This window comes from Homo sapiens, chromosome 1 (genome assembly GCF_000001405.40).
Source record: "Homo sapiens chromosome 1, GRCh38.p14 Primary Assembly".
Lineage (NCBI taxonomy): Eukaryota > Metazoa > Chordata > Mammalia > Primates > Hominidae > Homo > Homo sapiens.
The window spans coordinates 148,116,446-148,139,611 of record NC_000001.11 but is presented as its reverse complement, the minus strand read 5'-3'; the positions used below and the strand labels follow the sequence as shown (position 1 = coordinate 148,139,611).

Below are 23,166 nucleotides of genomic sequence, written 5' to 3'. Positions count from 1 at the left end.
TAAAGAATTACTTGTTATAAAAGTCCCCCATTGTTAATGTACAACTCAATGATGTAAGTTGATTTATCGAATTGTGCAGCCATCAGCAGAGTTCTACTTCAGCATATTTTGTCACTTCCCAAATTCCCTTGAACCTGTTTGTAGTCATTTCCTAATCCCTGGTCCCCATGACTGGGTCTGAATAGAATAAACATTTGGAAAGCAGATTTCATTATATTTACATTTTCCTGTGTTTGGGACTTTATGTAGTGGACTATTGTGTTCGTTTTGTGACAAATAGAGAAGAGATTGCATTCTAGGGATGGTTTTCGGGGGAACATAATAGTAGTCCTGTTTATGGCTCTCCTTGAATTGGTTCTTCTGTGCTGGTGACTGGTATTTGTTACCAAACCTTGTCTGGTGAGCACAAGAAAAGGAATTTTTTAAAATCTCCTATTAAAATTGAGATGATACATTTTCACATAATAATATTTGGAGTTAAGTAGTGAACCGTCTTTATTTTATTTTATCTTTTTTTTTGGAGATGGAGTTATTTCTCTTTTCCTTGGGCTCGAATGCAACGGCGCCATCTCAGCTCACTGCAACCTCCACCTCCTGAGTTCAAGTGATTCTCCTGCCTCAGCCTCCTGAATAGCTGGGATTACAGGCGCCTGCCACCACACCTGGCTAATGTTTGTATTTTTGGTAGAGACAGGGTTTCTTCATGTTGGCCAGGTTGGTCTCTAACTCTTGACCTCAAGTGATCCACCTGCCTTGGCCTCTCAAAGTGCTAGGATTACAGATATGAGCCATGGCCTGACCTGAACTGTGGGGAAAAGAAAGAGAGATCAGATTGTTACTGTGTCTGTGTAGGAAGAAGTAGACATAAGAGACTCCATTTTGTTCTGTACTAAGAAAAATTCTTTTGCCTTGAGACGCTGTTAATCTGTAACCCTACCCCCAACCCTGTGCTCCCTAAGACATGGGCTGTGTCAACTCAGGGTTAAATGGATTAAGGGCTGTTCAGGGTGTGCTTTGTTAAACAAATGCTTGAAGGCAGCATGCTTGTTAAGAGTCATCACCACTCCCTAATCTCAAGTACCCAGAGACACACTACACTGCGGAAGACTGCAGGGACCTCTGCCTAGGAAAGCCAGGTATTGTCCAAGGTTTCTCCCCATGTCATAGTCTGAAATACAGCCTCATGGGAAGGGAAAGACCTGACTGTCCCCCAGCCCGACACCCGTAAAGGGTCTGTGCTGAGGAGGATTAGTAAAAGAGGAAGGAAGGCCTCTTTGCAGTTGAGATAAGAGGAAGGCATCTGTCTCCTGCTCATCCCTGGGCAATGGAATGTCTCGGTGTAAAGCCCGATTGTATATTCCATCTACTGAGATAGGAGAAAACCGCCTTAGGACTGGAGGTGGGACATGCTGGCAGCAATACTGCTCTTTAAGGCATTGAGATGTTTATGTATATGCACATCAAAAGCACAGCACTTTTTTCTTTACCTTGTTTATGATGCAGAGACATTTGTTCACGTGTTTACCTGCTGATCTTCTCTCCACTATTATCCTATTGTCCTGCCACATCCCCCTCTCCGGAAACGCCCAATAATGATCAATAAATACTAAGGGAACTCAGAGGCCAGTGCAGGCATGGGTCCTCCGTATGCTGAACGCCAGTCCCCTGGGCCCATTTTTCTTTCTCTGTACTTTGTCTCTGTGTCTCTTTCTTTTCCAAGTCTCTCCTTCCACCTAACGAGAAACGCCCACAGGTGTGGAGGGGCAACCCATCCCTTCACTGAACCATTTTTATTCTTTCAGAAATGTGATTGATAACAGTAAAGCCACACTCCTCAAGTGCCTGAAATACCCCTCATTGTCTTCTTCAGGTGGCAAGGGCTCTGGAACAGCCACATAAAGGTGAGGGCAATATTTTTACTGTAGTTCTTTCATTGATTGGTCGATTGATTGATTTTTTTCTCTTAGAGGGTTAGCATACATTTATCTGAAATTGAAATTCAAGAGGAGAGACAGGCACCTGTACTAGTTTTCTCTCGCTGCCTATTATCACATTACCACAAACCAGTGGTTTGAAACCACAGAAGTCTGGAATGAAGCGGCCGGGTTCTCTGATCAGAGTCATGTGAGACTAAAATCCGGGAATGGGCTGGCTGTGTTTTTTTCCTAGAGCTCAAGCTATTTTTCCAGGTTCACTACAGATAATGAAAGAGTTCCTATTCTTGTTTGTGGGGGACTGAGGGCCCTTTTTCTGTGCTGGCTGTCAGCGGGGAGACAGTCTACTCTGACTCCAGAGGCCACGTGCTTTCCTCCTTACCTGTCTGTTTCATCTTTCAACCAATAACAACTTATGGAGTCCTTCTCAAGCTCCCACCTTCTCTGACTTCATCTTCTCCAACCAGCCACACAAAGCTCTGTCATGTATGGAGTGATGTGATTAGATCCAGTTCATGCGGTAACCTCACCATCTTAAAGTCATATAACTGGCATATAACAATGTAGTCACAGGAATGGTGTCTCATCACCTTAAGAGGCTTTAGAGACAAGGGTGTGGCATGTTTGGGGACCATTTCAGAAATTCCATCTACCACAGTAGGACACTCACATTCCCCCATCTGCAAAGTGCATTTACCCTCTCCCCTGAGGTTTCCAGATTTCATGTCATTAAAGCATTAGTTCAACATGAAAAATGTCATGTAGACCACATCAGATCAAAAGCTTAAAATCCCATCTAAAACATCCACACCAGGTGTGAATGAGGCTTCCGAGAGTGTCCATTAAGTGCAGATCCTTGACATAATTCCCTTACCTCTGTCGACCTGTGAAACTGAACAAACAGCTTATCTGTCCCTAATGTGAAATGATGGGACAGGCATAGAATAACAACTACAGTGATTCTAGTTCAAAATGAGGGAACATGGAGGGGATAAAGAAGTCACTAACCCAAAATAGTTTGGAAATGGAGCTGGGCAAAATCCCGCAGGAGTTTCTTAGTAAGGATCCACAGCCTGGGACTGACCCTCTGTCCTGTGGGTCTTTGCCTCTGGGCTCTCTGCTCTGCATTTCTTGAAACCATTATTATTTATCATTTTTCTCACACTGTTTTGCGTATGGCTCCTATTGCACTCAAAATGTTTTTGAGATTCATCCATGTTGTTTTGTGTGTCAAAAGTTTGTTCCTTTAGCCATTCCATGGAATGAATGTATCACATTCTTGTATTGATAGATATTTGAATGTATATTGATAGATATTTGAATACAAGAATGTATCCATTCTTGTATTGATAGATATTTGAATGTTTCCAGTTTTTCCTATTACGAATAAAACTGCTATGGACATTCTTGTATATATCATTTTCTGCACATATGTTTTAATTTCTCTTGGATAAATGCTTAGGAATTACTGAGTCATAGAATAGGTAGTTGTTTAGTTCTGTAAGAATATGCCAGACGTTTTTTCCCAAAGTGTTTATACTATTGTACATTCCAACCATTAATGTATGAAGGTGAGAAAGCTTTCGCTACTTCCAAAGAGGCCTCTCTATATACATGTAATTTTTTCTAACTGGAGACAGGCTGATGACTTCAGGGACATGAGCATGGGATACCTGTCATCACCACCACCATGAAGTTGGGATTCAGGAAGGAGTTTAATCATGTAAAGAATCCTGTGACCAGTATGAGCTTCTCTCAGGCCACACAGGGCACTCAAGTGAACAGGGTCATGGTAAGAAAGTGTCTCATTGGTAAAACCTTTTCCTCTGGGGAGGTAAATAAATTATTTGTTTCTTCTTGGTAGCCCTTGAAGATAAGGATGGTCAAACAAAATAATATCATACCTGGAGAAACTCAGATCTTGCTAAGATTTACTGGTTGGGAATCCAAAGTTAATGCCAAGAAGCAGCTGCCAGTTGGGATCAAATGTGAGCCTATGGATCAAGGTGCGTACTCAAACACAGAGAGCTTTCTGAAAGATGCTACCAGTAGTTTTTCCAGGGCAGAGATGTGTCCTTTATTTTTCTCTCTAATCTAGCCCATATGCTTAGCTGAGTTTTCTTCATATCACTTTAAATGATGATGTCCCTTGTTCAACAATTTTCTAAACATTCTTTAGATAATAATTTTATGGGCATTCTTTATTGCATTAGGCTTAAATTTAATGCATCTTAAGGTTTTATTGCAAAATATTGCCTTGTTTCCTTTTTAAGATGATACAATTTATAATATGCAAATTTGCTGTCTGTCCCCTCCCTTTATGTACATAGAAAATGAGCAAACAGGTGGCCATGAAACAGATGGTCATAGAATTGTTTCAGTGCTTGTGAGTGCAGCAACCCAAGAGTGTCTTATCTGAAATACCACCAGGAATGTCTGGACACAGTAGACAAAGGTTTTTCAACAGGATGCCTTAGGATACATGCTTCCAAAAACAAAGTAGCCAAAAAGAAACCAGAGTCACAGAATATCAGAGCCAGAGGAACATTTGGAGGTAATTCAGTACCTCCTCCTTTTCAGCCTACAGGGGAGATAGTGGAAGAGAAGCAGGGATGGGTCTGCCTTCTGTGCCCACAATTCATTGGAGATTGTTGTGGTGAAGAATTTCTTTTATGATGAAGGAGAAATAAACTCCCATCAGCTTTAATTCAGGCAGGTTTATTGAAAAGGTGAAGAAGCATCTTGCAGAAGCAAAGCATGGTTGAGGCTTGTGGGCTCTGTCTGGACAAATGAGCAGCCGACAGTGGCTGGTGCTGCCCCTGACTCTAGGGCCGTGTGGTCTGTGGTTGTCTGTGAGCATCTCTTCTATTCTCTTGCATCGTCCCTCAGCCTGGCAGTCTCTGTGTACTCTTCAACACATAATTGAGTGAGGCTGTACCAGCCCCAATGCCATGTAGCACTTTATGTCAAATTAGAAAGGCATGAAATAAACTGGCCCTTTATAATACAACTGTTGGAACAACAGTTGAAAATAACAATATCTTGACTCCTGGTTGAGTGCTTTATGCTGAGCTTTCTTTTCTGAATATGAGCACAGACTTGGGGATATTAGTGTCACCTAGCGTTATTAGCTAGTATTCTCCTTTTGTTTCCCCATAACATCCCCTCCTCCTTCCCACAGATCCACTTTCCACTCATTTCCATCCTGTCTTACGCCACTTGGGGCTTGTCCCTTCTAGAATGCATCCCTGGCTCCCCTGTGTGCACACTTCTAGTTAGGTTTAGCAATGTGGGCACCCGATGGAGCCTGGAAGTGAGAGGAAGGTGAGGTCCGTATTTCTTCCCTCTCCCTCCCTGCTCTGGCACTGAGTATCTGACAATAGCTGCATCTGTCTATTACTTCAGTGGCCACTCTTCCACAGCCCCAATTCTCAGTGGGTCCCATAGCATTATTTACCTTTGTTCCTTTAGCTCCCACCAAGGAAGACCCAGAGGCATTCTCCTCACCAAGGCATTAAGAAATGCATGGGTGAGGGGAACAGCGGCGTGCATGTAAAGGTCCTGTGGCGCCTCTCCTCTACAGGCTGGAGGTCATGGCGGGAGATGCTGCATGGATTTGCCCTCCCTGCTGTCAGAACAACAGGGTTCTGGAAGAGTAGAGGACAGGCCGTGGGACTTGGCTGTCTAGAGACAAGGCGGGAGGGATTTCCTTGAGAGGCAGGGACATGTGGTGGTTACTAATCATTGTGAGGTGTCTGGGATGTAATGGATGGGAAATCTACTAAGAAGTCAACTTATGTAATAATTAGAAAAGCTCTAGTTCTGAGGACAGAGACCTGTTGGAGTCACCATAGTGGAAATTTATGACCTGGTATCCAGTTCAGATACCTGGAGCTTCTTGACTGGGGGGAGATTGGATCCCTTGGGGAAGAGTGAAGCCTTCAATGCTGCCACAAGTGTGATCCGCCCGCCTCAGCCTCCCAAAGTGCTGGGATTACAGGCGTGAGCCACCATGCCCGGCCTCTTTTTTATATTTAAAAAATATCATTTTATATATTACCAGGGCAAAAGAGAAAACTCGTATGATTACGTGGTCATACACAGTAAAAGCATTTGGCAAAATTGAAAACTTTTTTCATGATTTATAAAAACAAACCCCAGAAAATGCTCAGCATGATGAGAACAGAAGGCAACACTTCCAACCCCATTAAGGGCAGATTTGAAGAACCCACAGGTAACATTATATTAAATGGCATAAGATTGAATGCTTTTCTATTAAATCAGAGAAAAAAGTAGAATACCTGCTGTTACTCTTTTAATTCAGCATTATACTAGAGCTCTAAGTCAATGCAATAAAGTAAGAAAAATTAATAAAGTATTGAAAAGAAAGAATTGAAGCTGTCTTTATTCACAGATAATGACTGTGTTTGTTAACAATGCTAGAAATCTACAAAAATCTACCAGAACTAATCAGTGAGTTTGGTAGTGTTGCAGAATGTAAGCTCTCAATGTAAGTGGTCTTTTGTATTTCTGTATATTAGCAATGAGCATTTGGAAAATGAAATAAGAATACAATTTCATTTAAAGTAACATCTAAATACATGTTGTGCTTATAAATAAATTCAACAGACTGGGCACCATGGCTCACACTTGTAATCTCAGCACTTTGGGAAGCCGAGGTGGGCAGATCATGAGGTCAGGAGATGGAGACCATCATGCCTAACACAGTGAAACCCCATCTCTACTAAAAATACAAAAAATTAGCTAGGCGTGGTGGCATGTGCCTGTAGTCCAGCTACTTGGGAGGCTGAGGCAGGAGGATCACTTGAACCTGGGAGGCAGAGGTTACAGTGAGCCGAGATCGCATCACTGCACTCCAGCCTGGGTAACAGAGCAAGACTCTGTCTCAAAAAAAAAAAAAAAAAAAAAAAAAAAAAAAAAAAAAAAAAAAAAAGGAAAGTCAACAAAATTTATGTAAGGCCAGTACACCAAAAACTACAAAAAATTGCTTTGAGAAATTATGAAAGAACTAAATTAGTGGGGAGATAAACCTTGTCATGGATCAGAAGAGTTGTTATGTTTAAAGAGTCAGTTCTTCGTAAATTGATCTCCAGATCCAATGCAATTCTAATAAAAATTCCAAGTGGCATTTTGGTAGAAATTTTCAAGCTGATTCTACCATTTATATGGTAATGTCAATGATCAAGAATAATAAAATAGCAATATTATAAAAGAATAATGGTGAATGAATTCACTACCTATTTCCAGAATTACTCTACAGCTATGAAAATCAAGATTATGTGTTTTGTTGAAAAAAAAAAATAGAATATATATCAGTGGAAGAGAAGAGAGAATCCAGAAATAGATACTCACATGTATGTCTAATTGATTCTTAGGACATATATATATGTATACACACCCCCACACACACACACACAAACATGTGTGTGTGTGTGTGTGTGTATATATATATATATATTCACCGTTTTGAAGATTATCATCTCCAAATAGGGAATATATATATATATATATACACACACACACATATATATATTGCAGTCTGATAAGATAAACAGCACAATGAAACAATTTCTCAAAAGACTTGAATAGATACTTCAGAAAAGAAGATACATGAATGGTCAATTAGCATAGGAAAAGATGCTCCACTGTTTAGTCATCAGGGAGATCAATCAGTGCAACAATGAGATACCAGTACATATCCATAAGAATGGCTAAAATTAAAAAGGCTGAAAATAGCACATGTTGGTGAGGATATAAAGCACTTGGAAGTCTTATACTTGTAGGAATGAAAAATGGTATTGCTCCTTTGAAAATCTAACAGTTTCTTAAAGGTTAAACATAACACAAATCAGATAGACAGTCATTCCATTCCTAGGAATTTACACACTGTGTCTGCACAATGATCTGTATGTGTGTTTCCAGACCAACCTGAGGGGCGGGCTGCTATTTCTCGTGGCTCAGTAACGAGACACAGATGAACTGGGGAGGAAGAGAGTTTTGACTTCTGCAACTGGTTACAGGGAAACGGCCTGGAAATTATCACCAGACCAACTCAAAATTGGAAAGTTTTCCTGAGCTAATGTACCTTCTAAGCTATATGTGTATGTGGAAGTGTGCATTCATCTAAATACATAAGTGATTAACTTCTTTTAATCTATAACTAAGTCTGAGTCCTAAAGACCTTCCTCTGGAACCTCAGTTAAATTCACTTAATCTAAATGGGTCTAGGTGCTGGGGGCCCTTATCTTGTCTCCTGCTAAATCACAGAGGTTTGGAGAGTCCCTTCAGATCTCCAATAAACTTGTCTGTGGAGGCCTGGGGAGTTTCTTCAGACCCCCAGTAAAACTCGTTTAATACTAAATGGCTCCTGTTAAGAATGCCTTCGTTATTTCGTCATGCTTTAAGGCCCAGGAAAAACCTAGGCAAAACTCTTGGTGGGCTTTTGTTACATTCCAGCCTTTGTATAAGGGCACTGGCTTCTTTTTTTTTTTTTTTTCCTCTTAATATTTAATTGAACCACTCAGTCGCTACTGAAACAGTTTTTAGGGAGGCCTGTGTTAGTGAGACCTGGCCTGCTACGTATGGATGCTCATGATAGTTTCTTCATAATAGCCCAAACGTGGAATGATAGAAATGTCCAATAATAAGTGAAAGTACAAACATACATGGTATAGCCACATGAAGGAATACTACTCAGTATTTACAAGACATTACAGATGGATTTTAAAATTACATTGATGCATGAAAGAAGGCAGACACAAAAGAACACAGGTATCATTTCATTTATAGAAAATGGTTAAAAATGCAAACGGACCTGAAGTGACAGTGGCTCCTTGGGGCTGAGGGTTGAAAGGCTGATGAACTGCAAAGGGGTACAAGAAACTTTTGGGCATAGGGAATTTCCTCTATCTTGGTTGTGGCAGTAGTTCCGTTAGTGCATCCATTTGTAAACGTGCATTGAATTACACATTTTAAAGTGGTGCAGTCTGTTGTACCGAAATTATGCCTTTATAAAGTTGATTTCATCATCTTAATTTCTCCATACTAGCAATTAGCAGCTAGAAAATGAAATTCAATAAAACATAATAGAGATTAATAGCCAGAATCATTACATGCTTAACAATACATGCAATGAAGCAGGTACGAGGCCCCTAAAAGCAATTGGTGAGAAAAATTAAAGAAGGCTAAATAAATATATATCATGTTCATTGATTGGAAGACTCAATTTTGTTAGCATATTACATCAACACAATTCTGATTAATATTTCTAGTAGGAGATTTTAGAGAAATTTGAAAGCTAGTTTCAAAATGTATTTGAAAATCAAAGAACCTAGAATAAGCAAGTCGGTCTTGAAGAAGCAATAAGTTGGAGGACTTGCTCTGCTAGATTTCAAACCTGATTTTAAAGCTACAGTAATTTAAAAACAGTAGTAATGGTGTAAGTATTCATAAATATATCAAAGCAAAAGAATACAGATTCAAACAATATGCCCACATATGTACAGTTATTGATTTTTTTTAGTAGAATCTTTTTTATTCATAAAAAATCCATCAAAACAAAAAAGTTTTCCAGCCACACACAGGAGGGGTATGGGTGGGGGAAGGTGTCTGTCCATCTATCCCTGGCCCCCAGCCCATGTGGTTTTGGCAGCAATAAGGTGTGTGGGGTAATGACTCCTGAAATTAAAATGGTGTGTGTATGTGAAGGAAAGGCGGGCAAAGCTGTGGGGAGCGGTGGAGTGGAAGGAACAAAGGAGGTCAGTACTGGGAACGCTGAAGGTGGGAGGCCATTTCATAACATTACTTGTTGATGAAATTGCCATGGATACCTTCTTTGCCCATCAGCAGGCCTAGCGTCTTGGCAGTCATGGTGACAATGACGTTGAAGGTGGGGGCTCCACCGATGCTCTTCATACAAAGATCCGTGGTCAATTCCCCATCCTGCAGCAGTGAGTCCAGGACCACAGTATATTTCTGGCCCCCCAGTGTCAGCCCATTCATGACAAAGCTTGACCAGTCTTTGCCAACCAGGACACCAACCTCAGCTGGCGTGATGTTGAGGAAGGTTTTCCCTGGGACGGTGGCACAGATGGAAGGTGGGTCCTTGTTGCCCACAATGGCCGTGTCCTAACAGGTCCCGTCCGCCACGAGGCTGTAGATGGAGGTGTCCACCTGGCCTTTGCGTTGCTGCAGGGGCTCCTCTGGTCGCTGCTGCTGGGGCCGCCTGGGCTGGCGGGTGGGGGAGGCGGAGAGCTCGATGCAGGTGCTGTCCTCCTCGCCACGACTCTGCTAGCTGTGCAGTAGCCCTCGCTCCGCCACTTAAAAAAGAAAAAATATATATATAATATATATATACACGTGTTATATATATTGTATATTATGTATATACACGTATTATATATATACACGTATGTATATACACGTATATATAATATATATTCGTGTGTGTATATATATTTTATATATACGTGTATACATGTATATATGTGTATATATATATAATATATATACATGTGTATATATAAATAATACATATACACGTGTATATATATTATATATATATATACACGTGTGCCATGTTGGTTTGCTGCACCCATTAACTCGTCATTTACACCAGGTATATATCCTAATGCTATCCCTCCCCCAGCCCTCACCCCATGACAGGCCCTGGTGTGTGATGTTCCCCGCCCTGTGTCCAAGTGTTCTCATTGTTCAATTCCCACCCATGAGTGAGAACATGCTCGCACCGCCGCTTCTAAATGTTTTAAAAACAAAGACACCAATGCCCTTCATTGGGGAAATGAAAGACTTTTAAGTAAAACGATTTTGAGTGAAATAATATTTGTTGTTTTAAAAAGTTAATATTAACCACTCTCCATCATATATTGAAATTAACTTAAGATGTGAAAGTTAAAATTAGAAACCTTGTAAAGGAAAAATAGGAAATAGTTTCATGAACTTGACACAGGAAAATATTTCTTAGACTAGATACTGTAGCACTCACCACAATAAGAAATCAAGCGAATTGCACTTCATTTTTAAAAAGCTTCTCCTTATTATGTTGTTGTTTAACAACTTAAACGCTATCTCTAGACCAGGAATAATTATTTGCTATATAATACAGCAAAAAATATGTATGTATAAATGGACTCATTCAAAATATATAAAGAACTCCTATTACAAAGAAATTGACAAACAGCCCAGTATATCAATGAATATAAAAATTTGAGAAGATATTTTCCATAAGAAGATATCTAAATGAACATTAGGCATGAGAAAACCAAATTTTAGGATATCACTACACACCTGGCATAGTTTAAAAGACTGAAAATATTAAGTGTGTGGGAATGTAGAGCAACTGGAAATGGCCTACATCTTTCATAGAAATGTAAAACAATACAAATACTTTGCAAAACTCTGTCCAACATTTTCTACCCATTCACCAAGCAACTCCATCCCTAGCTATAGATACCCAGGAAAATAAGTATGTATCTTCACAGAAATAATTGTATGAGAATATTCATAGTTACTTATGCACAGTAGTTATCAAGTAAACCTGTCTCCCATCAGAAAAATGGATATAAAATTGTGTGATAATCATACAATCAATAGGATATTACTTGGCCAAAACAAAATGAAACAAGGGAAAAACACAATCAAACAAATTAGTGGCATATATACCCACCTGAGTAAAGAGAAGTCGGCCGTGTGCGGTGGCTCACGCCTGTAATCCCAGCACTTTGGGAGGCCGAGGCGGCAGATCACGAGGTCAGGAGATCGAGACCATCCTGGCTAACACAGTGAAACCCCGTCTCTACTAAAAATACAAAAAAAAAAAAAAGAAAAATTAGCCGGGCGTGGTGGCGGGCGCCTGTATTCCCAGCTACTTGGGAGTCTGAGGCAGGAGAATAGCGTGAACCTGGGAGGCAGAGCTTGCAGTGAGCCTAGATCGCGTCACTGCACTCCAGCCTGGGCGACAGAGTGAGACTCTGTCTCAAAAAAAAAAAAAAAAAAAAGTCAAAACAAGAGAACATACTAAATGATTCCATTTTTTTATTTATGACTTCATGACTACCATTAAGAAAATATAACCTGTTGGGAAACTGTTTCTGCCTTGATGATGTTGTACAGACAAGAGATAAACAGTGAGGAATATGCTTAGATGTATTGGGAAAGACACGGGTCTGTGGCATTGTCACAAGGGTACACGAATACTGAGAGTGAATGCTGAAGGAATGATCCCCATTGGTGGTGACCCTCAGGTGAGACTAGGGTGCCTGTGTTTCAGCAAAGCCTGGGCAATTGGAATGCAGGGCTCCTAAGATTCCATGACACCCCTACCTTCTAATTCTGTTATTGCAACTGCAGACGGTTACCTGGCACGCTGGCCACAATCTACCTCACTCTTATCAGAGTCTGAGCAGTGCTTTCAGCTCTGAGTTGAGGCACCTCGAACCTTGTTTTTGTGGTGAAGGATCCTAAAGTGCTGTGGGGAGTGATCACATTTTTCACAACAGTAAGTTAAGAATTTCAGTTACTGACATCCCTCAGTCCTGATTAAACCTATTTGATTTCACCAGTTTTTAACCCATCATATGTTTGGGTTTCTTCTCCCCAGTCCCTGACTCCACCTCTTCTGCCACAAACGTCAGCATGGTGGTATCAGCCGGCCCTTGGTCCAGCGAGAAGGCAGAGATGAACATTCTAGAAATCAACGAGAAATTGCGCCCCCAGTTGGCAGAGAACAAACAGCAGTTCAGAAACCTCAAAGAGAGATGTTTTCTAACTCAACTGGCCGGCTTCCTGGCCAACCGACAGAAGAAATACAGTAAGATCTATAGGCTCACCATCATGAAAGTGATGAATGTGAGACACTAAATGCTCTCTCCATCAAAAATAATTTCATCCTTCCTGTACTTCTAGGAAAACAGAAATGGGTATTTTAACATTTTGTTAAAGTTGGAAGACAGAGGTACCAAAGTATTTAGCAACTTTCCATGTTTGCAATCAGATGGGGGTGGGACTAGAGTTAAACTCACAGTTATTGATTTCTAACACAGGCACAGAACGACCTGTTTTCTCCAAGAGGCTCAATCATGTTTTCAAGAATCCTCTCTGTACCATATAAGATCCTGCAGACAAATAACATCTAGTCTGTTGTTCTAAATGTCTAGGACTAGTGAACTTTTATTCAGTTCAAGTTTCTGTTGAGGCCCAACAGGCAAAGCTCTGTTCTAGTGACTCTGAGGGGAACTTGGTGATAGTACCCAGTACCTGCTCTGAGGGGCTTCAAGAGGAGTCTGCTCCTAATAGAACCTGTGCTATCTATAAGTGACAGCATCAAGAGCAGGGAGTAGGGGCCGTGCAACGTGGCTCACTCCTGTAATCTCAGCACTTTGGGAGGCTGAGGCGGGCAGAGGACGAGGTCAGCAGTTTGAGACTAGCCTGGGCAACATGGAGAAACCCCGTCTCCACTAAAAATACAAAAAGTAGATGGGCGTCGTGGCGGGCAACTGTAATCACCACTAATCGGGAGGCTGAGGCAGGAGAATCCTTTGAACCCAGCAGGCAGATGTTGCAGTGAGTCAAGATTGCACTATTGCACTCCAGCATGGGTGACAGGGCAAGACTCGTCAAAAAACAAACAAACAAAAAGATAAATAAATCAAAAATAAAAATAAAAAGCAGAGAGTACCTTGGTGAGAGTGAAGTCTGCTTCCTGGTGCACAGGCTCTTGTTCCTAAAGAGGAAGAAAGATCACACCCGAGAACGTGTGGAAGCAGCAGTGCAGTGTGCAAAGCAGGGACCCTCAGCCTGTCTCCTGGGCTCCATCCATGTTGCTTGTCTTGTCTGTCCCTCAGTTTCCTCATCTGTTCAGAGGGTACTACAATAATGCCTACCTCTGTAAATTGCTGCAATGAATTACATGAGGTATTTCCTGTCGATCTCCTTGAACATTAATTGGCACAGTGTAAACACTATCTATTAGTTCTTCATTCTGATGTTTCTAAATTAACACAAACTAATCTTATGCTGTTTCTAAATTAACACAACTAATCTAAATCTTAATGCTGCCTCTCATACTAATAAAGTATTTGGGCATATTTTCTTCATGGCCTTATTGTCTTATGTCTCACACTTTAGGCTTCAGATATGATTCTTAAAACCATATCTGAATATTGATTTAAAAATGAAATATTTTTAAAGTTCTTGACATATTTGTCCTTGAAATACCCAGTAAAAGGGAAACCATCAGTCCCATAGTCCTAGGGGCCTTCCTGACTGTACAAGAAATCACTACTTCATGCCCCAGTGCAGTGTTTTAGAGGAGAGGCTGCAAGGCTTGGGAAAGTGGCCCCGCATTCAGAGTCAGACCTCAGGGGCTGTGAGTTCTGACTCCACTTCGTTGTGGTTGAATCATCTTGTCAACTTCCTTGATGCGCCCTTGAGTTTCTCTTTCTTCGTCTTTAAATTTTGGAGGATCAGATGCCAGAAAGTCAGAAGACTGAAGAGTAAAGATGTGGAAATCCCTGTCTAGACCCTGGTACTGGGGAGAGTTTTGTCCTTGGGATGGACCTGGCTCCTGCCCTGTAGGCAGTGACCACAGCAGCATGTCCAGCCTTCCACTGAGGCAGGCGTGTCTGTCTTTTCTCAGAGTATGAAGAGTGTAAAGACCTCATAAAATTTATGCTGAGGAATGAGCGACAGTTCAAGGAGGAGAAGCTTGCAGAGCAGCTCAAGCAAGCTGAGGAGCTCAGGTGAGGGGACCCCGTAGGGGGAGACAGGCAGGTAGGTGTGTAGATCTCTGAAGTACAGCAGCTCGGCGGGGAGAAGTAAGAACGAAGCTGGGCCAGGGGAAGGGCAGAAATTGCCATGGCAGGCTCATGACACACAAATATTTATCAGAGAACAAGGATAATAATAAGTTCTGTGTTGCAGTTGTTTCTTAGAGCCTTGTTTTCTCTTTTTCAAACAAGTAATTGTTGAGGTGAAACTTACATAACACAAAATTCACCAAAGGAGTGGGAACCACCCAGCAGCATTCAGTATAATCAAAATGGTGTGCTATTGCCACCCCACTTACCCTTAGTGAGAATCACCTCCTGACTGACTGCGTCTTCTCATTCTTTCACTCAATCAATGTTGCCTTCTCGACCCTGTCATTCTTTTCTTCTTTCGTCTTTTCAATTCGCCCCATCTGCACCTGGCCTCATTTCTGTACATGGCTTTGTATCTAGTGGCCGCAAGATGCACTATGTGTATTTTCACATGGAAATGTCCATGGCCAGAGTGAGGAACTGAAAGGATGTCTTTTTGAAACGGAATTAGGAAGACACCTACTTTTATTTACAGAAGGGAAAGATGAATGGAACATCATCGAGGATCTTGCAGGAGCCCTCTCTGATAGAGGGAAAGCCTGTAGACCATTTTCTGTTCTTTCTCTTGGCCACAGACATTCCTTTCAACATGTGCTGACCTTCTGCTTGAAGGTCTCCTTGAGAACATTGTCTCAGAAATCTCTGTTGCAATATTTGAACGGATCACTCAATGCTTTTCACTGTTAAATTTTCTCTACCGTCTCACCTTAGGCAATATAAAGTCCTGGTTCACTCTCAGGAACGAGAGCTGACCCAGTTAAGGGAGAAGTTACGGGAAGGGAGAGATGCCTCCCGCTCATTGAATGAGCATCTCCAGGCCCTCCTCACTCCGGATGAGCCGGACAAGTCCCAGGGGCAGGACCTCCAAGAACAGCTGGCTGAGGGGTGTAGACTGGCACAGCACCTTGTCCAAAAGCTCAGCCCAGGTAAGGTGGCCATAGGCCCTGATGACCCAAAACCCCAGGCTTATGAGAGGCTCCAGACCTCCATACTTTCACAATGACAGTTGTATCAGTGGGGTTTTTTTCTACTACACATATGTGGCCATGACATGATCAGGACTTCCTGAGTAAGAACAGAAATGGGAAACCCATCGGTTTGGAGGTCACAGTATTGCAAGTGTCCCTCCTTCCTTGATGGAAGGTGGTCTTTGGAGCAAGAGGCAGCATCTATCTAGTTTTAAAGGACAGGAAGGAGGCTGTGATGGGAGGGCGCTTGTTGGAGTGAAAAGAGCTCTGGGCTAAGAATGAAGGTTCCCAGGCTGTCTTTTTGGCAATGTTCTTAGTAAGTGTCGGTGAGTGAGTGATTTATCTTTCCAGAGTTTCTCTCTCTCCATCTGCAAAGGCAGACAAATTGTCTCTTGCAAGGGTCTGAAGCATCCAAATATGGGAACACTTACGAATGCTTTTCAAAATGAGATGAAGCCCCTCTCCGTGTGGTGTTGGAGAAGGCACTTGATGTGGGGGCATTTGGTGGTAGGAAGTGCTTCAGACTGGAGCACTCCCCATGGATAGAATGTCCCTGAATAACACAGCAGAAGCCACATGGAGGGCCTGTGCAGTCTCATGACGCATAGAGGACTGTGGGACAAGTTTGTCCTCTCCTAAGAGAATGAATGAGGTTTGAAATGCGAACTGTGACAGGACACCAAGCCTGTTCCTGGGAATCAGATCTGTGGCAGGATGGGGGAGACAGCTGCCAAAGTCCAGAGAGAGGCTGCACAAGCCTCCAGTGATATGGGAAGCAAAAGGTCTTTTCAGTATTTGGCCACATCTTGATGGTGGCCCTCCACATCAGAAATGCATTGCCTGATGGACCAGGAAACCATGCCAGGGCATTTTGTGAAGGATAAAACATGAGAGTTTTCAGTACAATGCTGAACCATACATAGATATTCATGTCTCTGTGCACGTTGGGCTGACTGTGCTTGCAGAATGTGAAGTGGGAAATATCTGAACGAACATTTTGTATTTATAGAAAATGACGAAGATGAGGATGAAGATGTTCAAGTTGAGGAGGATGAGAAAGTACTGGAATCATCTGCCCCCAGGTAACATTGAATACTCAGGAGCAAGTAATGGGTGGTAACATATGAAAATGTCTAGGAGGCACGCCCTCTCTGGCATCTATGATGGGCCAAAAGCCCGCATTCCCTTGGCCACAGTATGTGAAATTCAACCCAGCTTAGACACAGGGTGCGGCAGCTGTTGTGTTTCTCTATGTGTGCCAAGTGTCATGTCTGTACCATACAGGGATAGCTGAGTCTTCATCCTCTTCAGCTCCTATCTGTCCAGTGCACTGAACACCAGCTGCTCTCTTCCTCTCTGGCTCCCATGGCAGCGAAGCTCTGTTGCAGAGAGAAGAGGATTGCCTGTTCCCTCTTAAAGGGAACCTCCATTTGTTTTCTGGGACCACTCTCTTAATGCCGCTTGTCAAAACCAGCTAGGACTCCTTGGGGTCCAATCCCTCTGTGTTTAATCTTCTGTCATCTCTGTCCCACCTGGCTCATCAGGGAGGTGCAGAAGGCTGAAGAGAGCAAAGTCCCTGAGGACTCACTGGAGGAATGTGCCATCACTTGTTCAAATAGCCACGGCCCTTGTGACTCCATCCAGCCTCACAAGAACATCAAAATCACATTTGAGGAAGACAAAGTCAACTCATCTCTGGTTGTAGACAGAGAATCCTCTCATGATGGATGTCAGGATGCTCTAAACATTCTCCCAGGTAGCCTCTATTTTCCTTGTGTCTCATACCTCTGTCTAGGCTATGGAAGATCAATTCTGAGGACAGGCTGTATATACACATATTGTTATTGTTTTAGTCAGAAACTAGGATGGAGCTAGGTGCTGTGACTCACACATATAATCACAGCACTTTGGAAGGCCCAAGTGGGAGGATGACTTGAGTTCAGGAGTTGAAGACCAGCCTGGAGTATATGGTGAAACCCATCTTTACGAAGAATACAAAAAATTAGGCAGGCATGGTGCTGCCCGCCTATAGTCCCAACTGCTCAGGAGACTTAGGTGGGAGGATGGGCTGAGATGATCCTCCCACCCTCATTCACTTCTGTCAGGCTAGACTCTCTCTCCTTTTCATTGGCTTGTCTTAGCTATTAATAAGTCTTGGCTGGGCGCAGTGGGTCACACCTGTAATCCGAGCACTTTGGGAGGCCGAGGCGGGTGGATCACGAGGTCAGGAGATTGAGACCATCCTGGCTAACACGGTGAAACCCCGTCTTTACTAAAAATACAAAAAAAAAAGAAATTAGCTGGGCGCGGTGGTGGGCGCCTGTAGTCCCAGCTACTCAGGAGGCTGAGGCAGGAGAATGGCATGAACCCAGGAACCGGATCTTGCAGTGAGCCGAGACTGTGGCACTGCACTCCAGCCTGGGAGACAGAGCGAGACTGCATCTCAAAAAAAAAAAAAAAAAGTCTCTGACCAGGGACGCTGGCTCACATCTTAATCCCAGCACTTTGAGAGGCCAAGGTGGGCGGAACACCTGAGCTCAGGAGTTCGAAACCAGCCTGTCCAAGATGGCGAAACCCCATCTCTACTAAAAATACAAAAATTAGCTGTCATGTTACTTGGCGCTTGTAATCCCAGATGCTTGGCAGGCTGAGTGATGAGAATCGCTTGAACCCGGGAGGCAGAGGTGGCAGTGAGCTGAGATTGTGCCTCTGCACTGCAGCCTGCGCGACAGAGTGAGACTCCGTCTCAAACAGAAAACAAAAAACCAAAAAAGGAAAAAATTTAAAAAGCAAAATGAAATCTTTTGTGCTACACAGAAACATTGGCCACTCATGGGATAAAAATCTCAGGGCCAAGCCTTGCTTTATAGAAACGTATAAGCAAGTGTAGAAGTGTTTATGTCTTGGTTTCAAGGTGACTGCATAGCTAAGACAAGTTGACTTAAAGGAGATCAAGACTGGAGATGACAAGAGTGAAACCAGGGAAACAACATCTTCAAATAAGTAAACAAGGCTACCAGTGACATCCCTCAGTCCTGATTAAGCCTATTTGATTTCACCAGTTTTTAACCCATCATATGTTTGCCTTTCTTCTCCCCAGTCCCTGGCCCCACCTCTTCTGCCACAAACGTCAGCATGGTGGTATCAGCCGGCCCTTTGTCCAGCGAGAAGGCAGAGATGAACATTCTAGAAATCAATGAGAAATTGTGCCCCCAGCTGGCAGAGAAGAAACAGCAGTTCAGAAGCCTCAAAGAGAAATGTTTTGTAACTCAAGTGGCCTGCTTCCTGGCCAAGCAGCAGAACAAATACAGTAAGATCTATATGCTCACCATCACGAAAGTGATGAACGAAGTCCTGTCTTCTCTCTGAGAAACTAAGTGCTCTCTCCATCAAAAATAATGTCATCCTCCCCATACTTCTAGGAAAACAGAAATGGGTATTTTAACATTTTGTTAAAGTTGGAAGACAGAGGTACCAAAGTATTTAGCAACTTTCCATGTTTGCAATCAGGTGGGGGTGGGACTAGAGTTAAACTGCCATTTATTGATTTCTGACACAGGCACAGAATGACCTGTTTTCTCCAAGAGGCTCAATCGTGTTTTCAAGAATCCTCTCTGTACCACATAAGATCCTGCAGACAAATAACATCTAGTCTGTTGTTCTAAATATCTGAGACTAGTGAACTTTTATTCAGTTCAAGTTTCTGTTGAGGCCCAATACACAAAGCTCTGTTCTAGTGACTCTGAGGGAAACTTGGTGATAGTAGCCAGTACCCGCTCTGAGGGGCTTCAAGAGGAGTCTGCTCCTAATAGAACCTGTGCTATCTATAAGTGACAGCATCAAGAGCAGGGAGTAGGGGCCGTGCATGGTGGCTCACTCCTGTAATCCCAGCCCTTTGGGAGGCTGAGGCGGGTAGAGCACGAGGTCAGGAGTTTGAGACCAGCCTGGGCAACATGGAGAAACCCCATCTCCACTAAAAATACAAAAAGTAGATGGGCGTGGTGGCAGGTGACTGTAATCACCCCTGCTCAGGAGGCTGAGGCAGTAGAATCCTTTGAACCCAGGAGGCTGAGGTTGCAGTGAGCCAAGATTTTGCCGTTGCACTCCAGCCTGGGTGACAGGGCAAGACTGTTAAAAAAAAATAATAATGATAAATAAAAATAAGAATAAAAAGCAGAGAGTAGCTTGGTGAGAGTGAAGTCCTGCTTCCTGGGGCACAGAGTCTTGTTCCTAAAGAGGAAGAAAGATCGCACCCGAGAATGTGTGGAGGTAGCAGTGCAGTGTACAGAGCAGGGACCGTGGGCCTGTCTCCTGGGCTCCATCCAAGGTGCTTGTCTTCTCTGTCCCTCAGTTTCCTCACCTGTTCAGAGGGTACTACAATAATACCTACCTCTGTAAATTGCTGCAGTGAATTACATGAGCTATTTCTTGTCAATCTCCTAGAACGTTTATTGGCACAGAGTAAACACTATCTATTAGTTCTTCATTCTGCTGTTTCTAAATTAACAGAAACTTCATTAGCATTTGGGCATAGGATTTCCTTCATGGCCTTATGGTGTTATGTGTCACACTTTATGCTTCAGATATGATTCTTAAAATCATAACTGAAGATATGATTAAAAAATCAAAGATTTTTAAAATCTTTCACATACTTGTCCTTGAAATTCCCAGTAAAAGGGAAACCATCAGTCCCATAGTCCTAGGGGCCTTCCCGACTGTACAAGAAATCACTACTTCATGCCCCAGTGCAGTGTTTTAGAGGAGAGGCTGCAAGTCTTGGGAAAGTGGCCCCGAATTCAGAGTCAGACCTCAGGGACTGTGAATTCTGACTCCACTTCGTTGTGGTTGAATCATCTTGTCAACTTCCTTGATGTGCCCTTGAGTTTCTCTTTCTTCATCTCTAAATTTTGGAGGATCAGATGCCAGAAAGTCAGGAGACTGAAGAGTAAAGACGTGGAAATCCCTGTCTAGACCCTGGTACTGTGGAGAGTTTTGTCCTTGGGATGGACCTGGCTCCTGCCCTGTAGGCAATGACCACAGCAGCATGTCCAGCCTTCCACTGATGCAGGCGTGTCTGTCTTTTCTCAGAATATGAAGAGTGCAAAGACCTCATAAAATCTATGCTGAGGAATGAGCGACAGTTCAAGGAGGAGAAGCTTGCAGAGCAGCTGAAGCAAGCTGAGGAGCTCAGGTGAGGGGACCCCATGGGGGCAGGCAGGGGGGCAGGTGTGTAAATCTCTGAAGTACAGTAGCTCAGTGGGGAGACGTAAGAGCTAAGCTGGGCCAGGGGAAGGGCAGGAATTGCCATGGCAGGTTTGCTACACACAAATATTTATCAAACAGAGAAGAAGGATAATAAAAATTTATGGGTTGCAGTTGTTTCTCAGAGCCTTGTTTTCTCTTTTTCAAACAAGTAATTGTTGATGTGAAATTTACATAACACAAAATTAACCAAAGGAGTGTGAACCACACAGCAGCATTCAGTATACTCAAAATGGTGTGCCATCACCACCCCACTTACCCTAGTGAGAATCACCTCCTGACTGACTGCGGCTTCTCATTCTTTCACTCAATCAATGTTGCCTTCTCGACCCTGTCATTCTTTTCTTCTTTCGTCTTTTCAATTCGCCCTATCTGCATCTGGCCTCATTTCTGTACATGGCTTTGTATCTAATGGCCGCAAGATGCACTATGTGTATTTTCACATGGAAATGTCCATGGCCAGAGTGAGGAACTGAAAGGATGTCTTTTTGAAACGGAATTAGGAAGACACCTACTTTTGTTTACAGAAGGAAAGATGAATGGAACATCATCGAGGATCTTGCAGGAGCCCTCTCTGATACAGAGGAAGCCTGTAAACCATTTTCTATTCTTTCTCTTGGCCACAGACATTCCTTTCAACATGTGCTGACCTTCTGCTTGGAGGTCTCCTTGAGGACATTGTCTCAGAAATCTCTGTTGCAATATTTGAACGGATCACTCAACCCTTTCCACTCTTAAATTTTCTCTACCGTCTCACCTTAGGCAATATAAAGTCCTGGTTCACTCTCAGGAACGAGAGCTGACCCAGTTAAGGGAGAAGTTACGGGAAGGGAGAGATGCCTCCCGCTCATTGAATGAGCATCTCCAGGCCCTCCTCACTCCGGATGAGCCGGACAAGTCCCAGGGGCAGGACCTCCAAGAACAGCTGGCTGAGGGGTGTAGACTGGCACAGCACCTTGTCCAAAAGCTCAGCCCAGGTAAGGTGGCCATAGGCCCTGATGACCCAAAACCCCAGGCTTATGAGAGGCTCCAGACCTCCATACTTTCACAATGACAGTTGTATCAATGGTGTTTTTTTCCACTAAGCTTATGTGGCCATGACATGACCAGGACTTCCTGGGTAAGAACGGAGATGGGAAACCCATGGGGTTGGAGGTCACAGTATTGCAAGTGTCCCTCCTTCCTTGATGGAAGGTGGTCTTTGGAGTAAGAGGCAGCATCTGTCTAGTTTTAAAGGACAGGAAGGAGGCTGCGATGGGAGCAGGCTTGTTAGAGTGAAAAGAGCTCTGGACTAAGAATGAAGGTTCCCAGGCTGTCTTTTTGGCAATGTTCTTAGTAACTGTCGGTGAGTGAATGACTTGTCCTTCCTGAGTTTCTCTCTCTCCATGGCAGACAAATTGTCTCTTGCAAGGTCTGAAGCATTCAAATGTGGGAACACTTACAACTGCTTTCCAAAATGAGATGAAGCCCCTCTCCGTGTGGTGTTGGAGAAGGCACTTGATGTGGGGGCATTTTGTGGTAGGAAGTGCTTCAGACTGGAGCACTCCCCATGGATAGAATGTCCCTGAATAACACAGCAGAAGCCACTTGGAGGCTTGAAATCTTCTGATGCATAGAGGACTGTGGGACAAGTTTGCTTCTAAGAGAAAGAATTAGGTTTGAAATGCAAACTGTGACAGGACACCAAGCCTGTGCCTGGGAATCAGATCTGGCAGGATGGGGGAGACAGCTGCCAAAGTCCAGAGAGAGGCTGCACAAGCCTCCAGTGATATGGGAAGCAAAAGGTCTTTTCAATATTTGGCCACATCTTGATGGTGGCCCTCCAGATCAGAAATGCATTGCCTGATGGACCAGGAAACCATGCCAGGGCATTCTGTTAAAGATAAAACATGAGAGTTTTCAGTTGAACGGTGACCCATGCCTAGATGTTCATGTCCCTGTTGCACATTGGGCTGACTGTGCTTGCAGACTGTGAAGTGGGAAATATCTGAATGAACACTTCTGTATTTACAGAAAATGATAACGATGACGATGAAGATGTTCAAGTTGAGGTGGCTGAGAAAGTGCAGAAATCGTCTTCCCCCAGGTAACACTGAATACTCA

At 43.1% G+C, this 23,166-nt stretch overlaps 1 protein-coding gene and 1 pseudogene across 19 annotated transcripts in view; one reads left to right on the top strand and one right to left on the bottom strand.

Annotated features, from left to right (window-relative positions):
• Positions 1-23,166, top strand: part of NBPF11 (NBPF member 11) — a 50,131-nt gene that overhangs the window by 12,670 nt on the left and 14,295 nt on the right. For 4 of the 19 annotated variants that reach the window (NR_169628.1, NR_046188.5, NM_001385476.1 and 1 more), the window contains 12 exons: positions 1,803-1,901; positions 3,799-3,940; positions 12,324-12,471; positions 12,574-12,783; positions 14,611-14,713; positions 15,545-15,759; positions 16,811-16,883; positions 17,346-17,557; positions 18,902-19,111; positions 20,890-20,992; positions 21,826-22,040; positions 23,077-23,149. Coding sequence is in view for 15 of the 19 variants with exons in the window: in NM_001385476.1 (NP_001372405.1) it covers positions 12,609-12,783; positions 14,611-14,713; positions 15,545-15,759; positions 16,811-16,883; positions 17,346-17,557; positions 18,902-19,111; positions 20,890-20,992; positions 21,826-22,040; positions 23,077-23,149 (1,379 nt within the window). In the remaining 4 variants the exon portion in view is untranslated. Of the gene's footprint in view, positions 1-1,802; positions 1,902-3,574; positions 3,727-3,798; positions 3,941-12,323; positions 12,472-12,573; positions 12,784-14,610; positions 14,714-15,544; positions 15,760-16,810; positions 16,884-17,345; positions 17,558-18,901; positions 19,112-20,889; positions 20,993-21,825; positions 22,041-23,076; positions 23,150-23,166 lie in introns of all 19 variants that reach the window. The other 15 variants (NR_169629.1, NM_001385472.1, NM_001385473.1 and 12 more) reach the window with 8 other exon arrangements.
• On the bottom strand, positions 9,471-10,252 carry PFN1P4 (profilin 1 pseudogene 4; annotated as a pseudogene).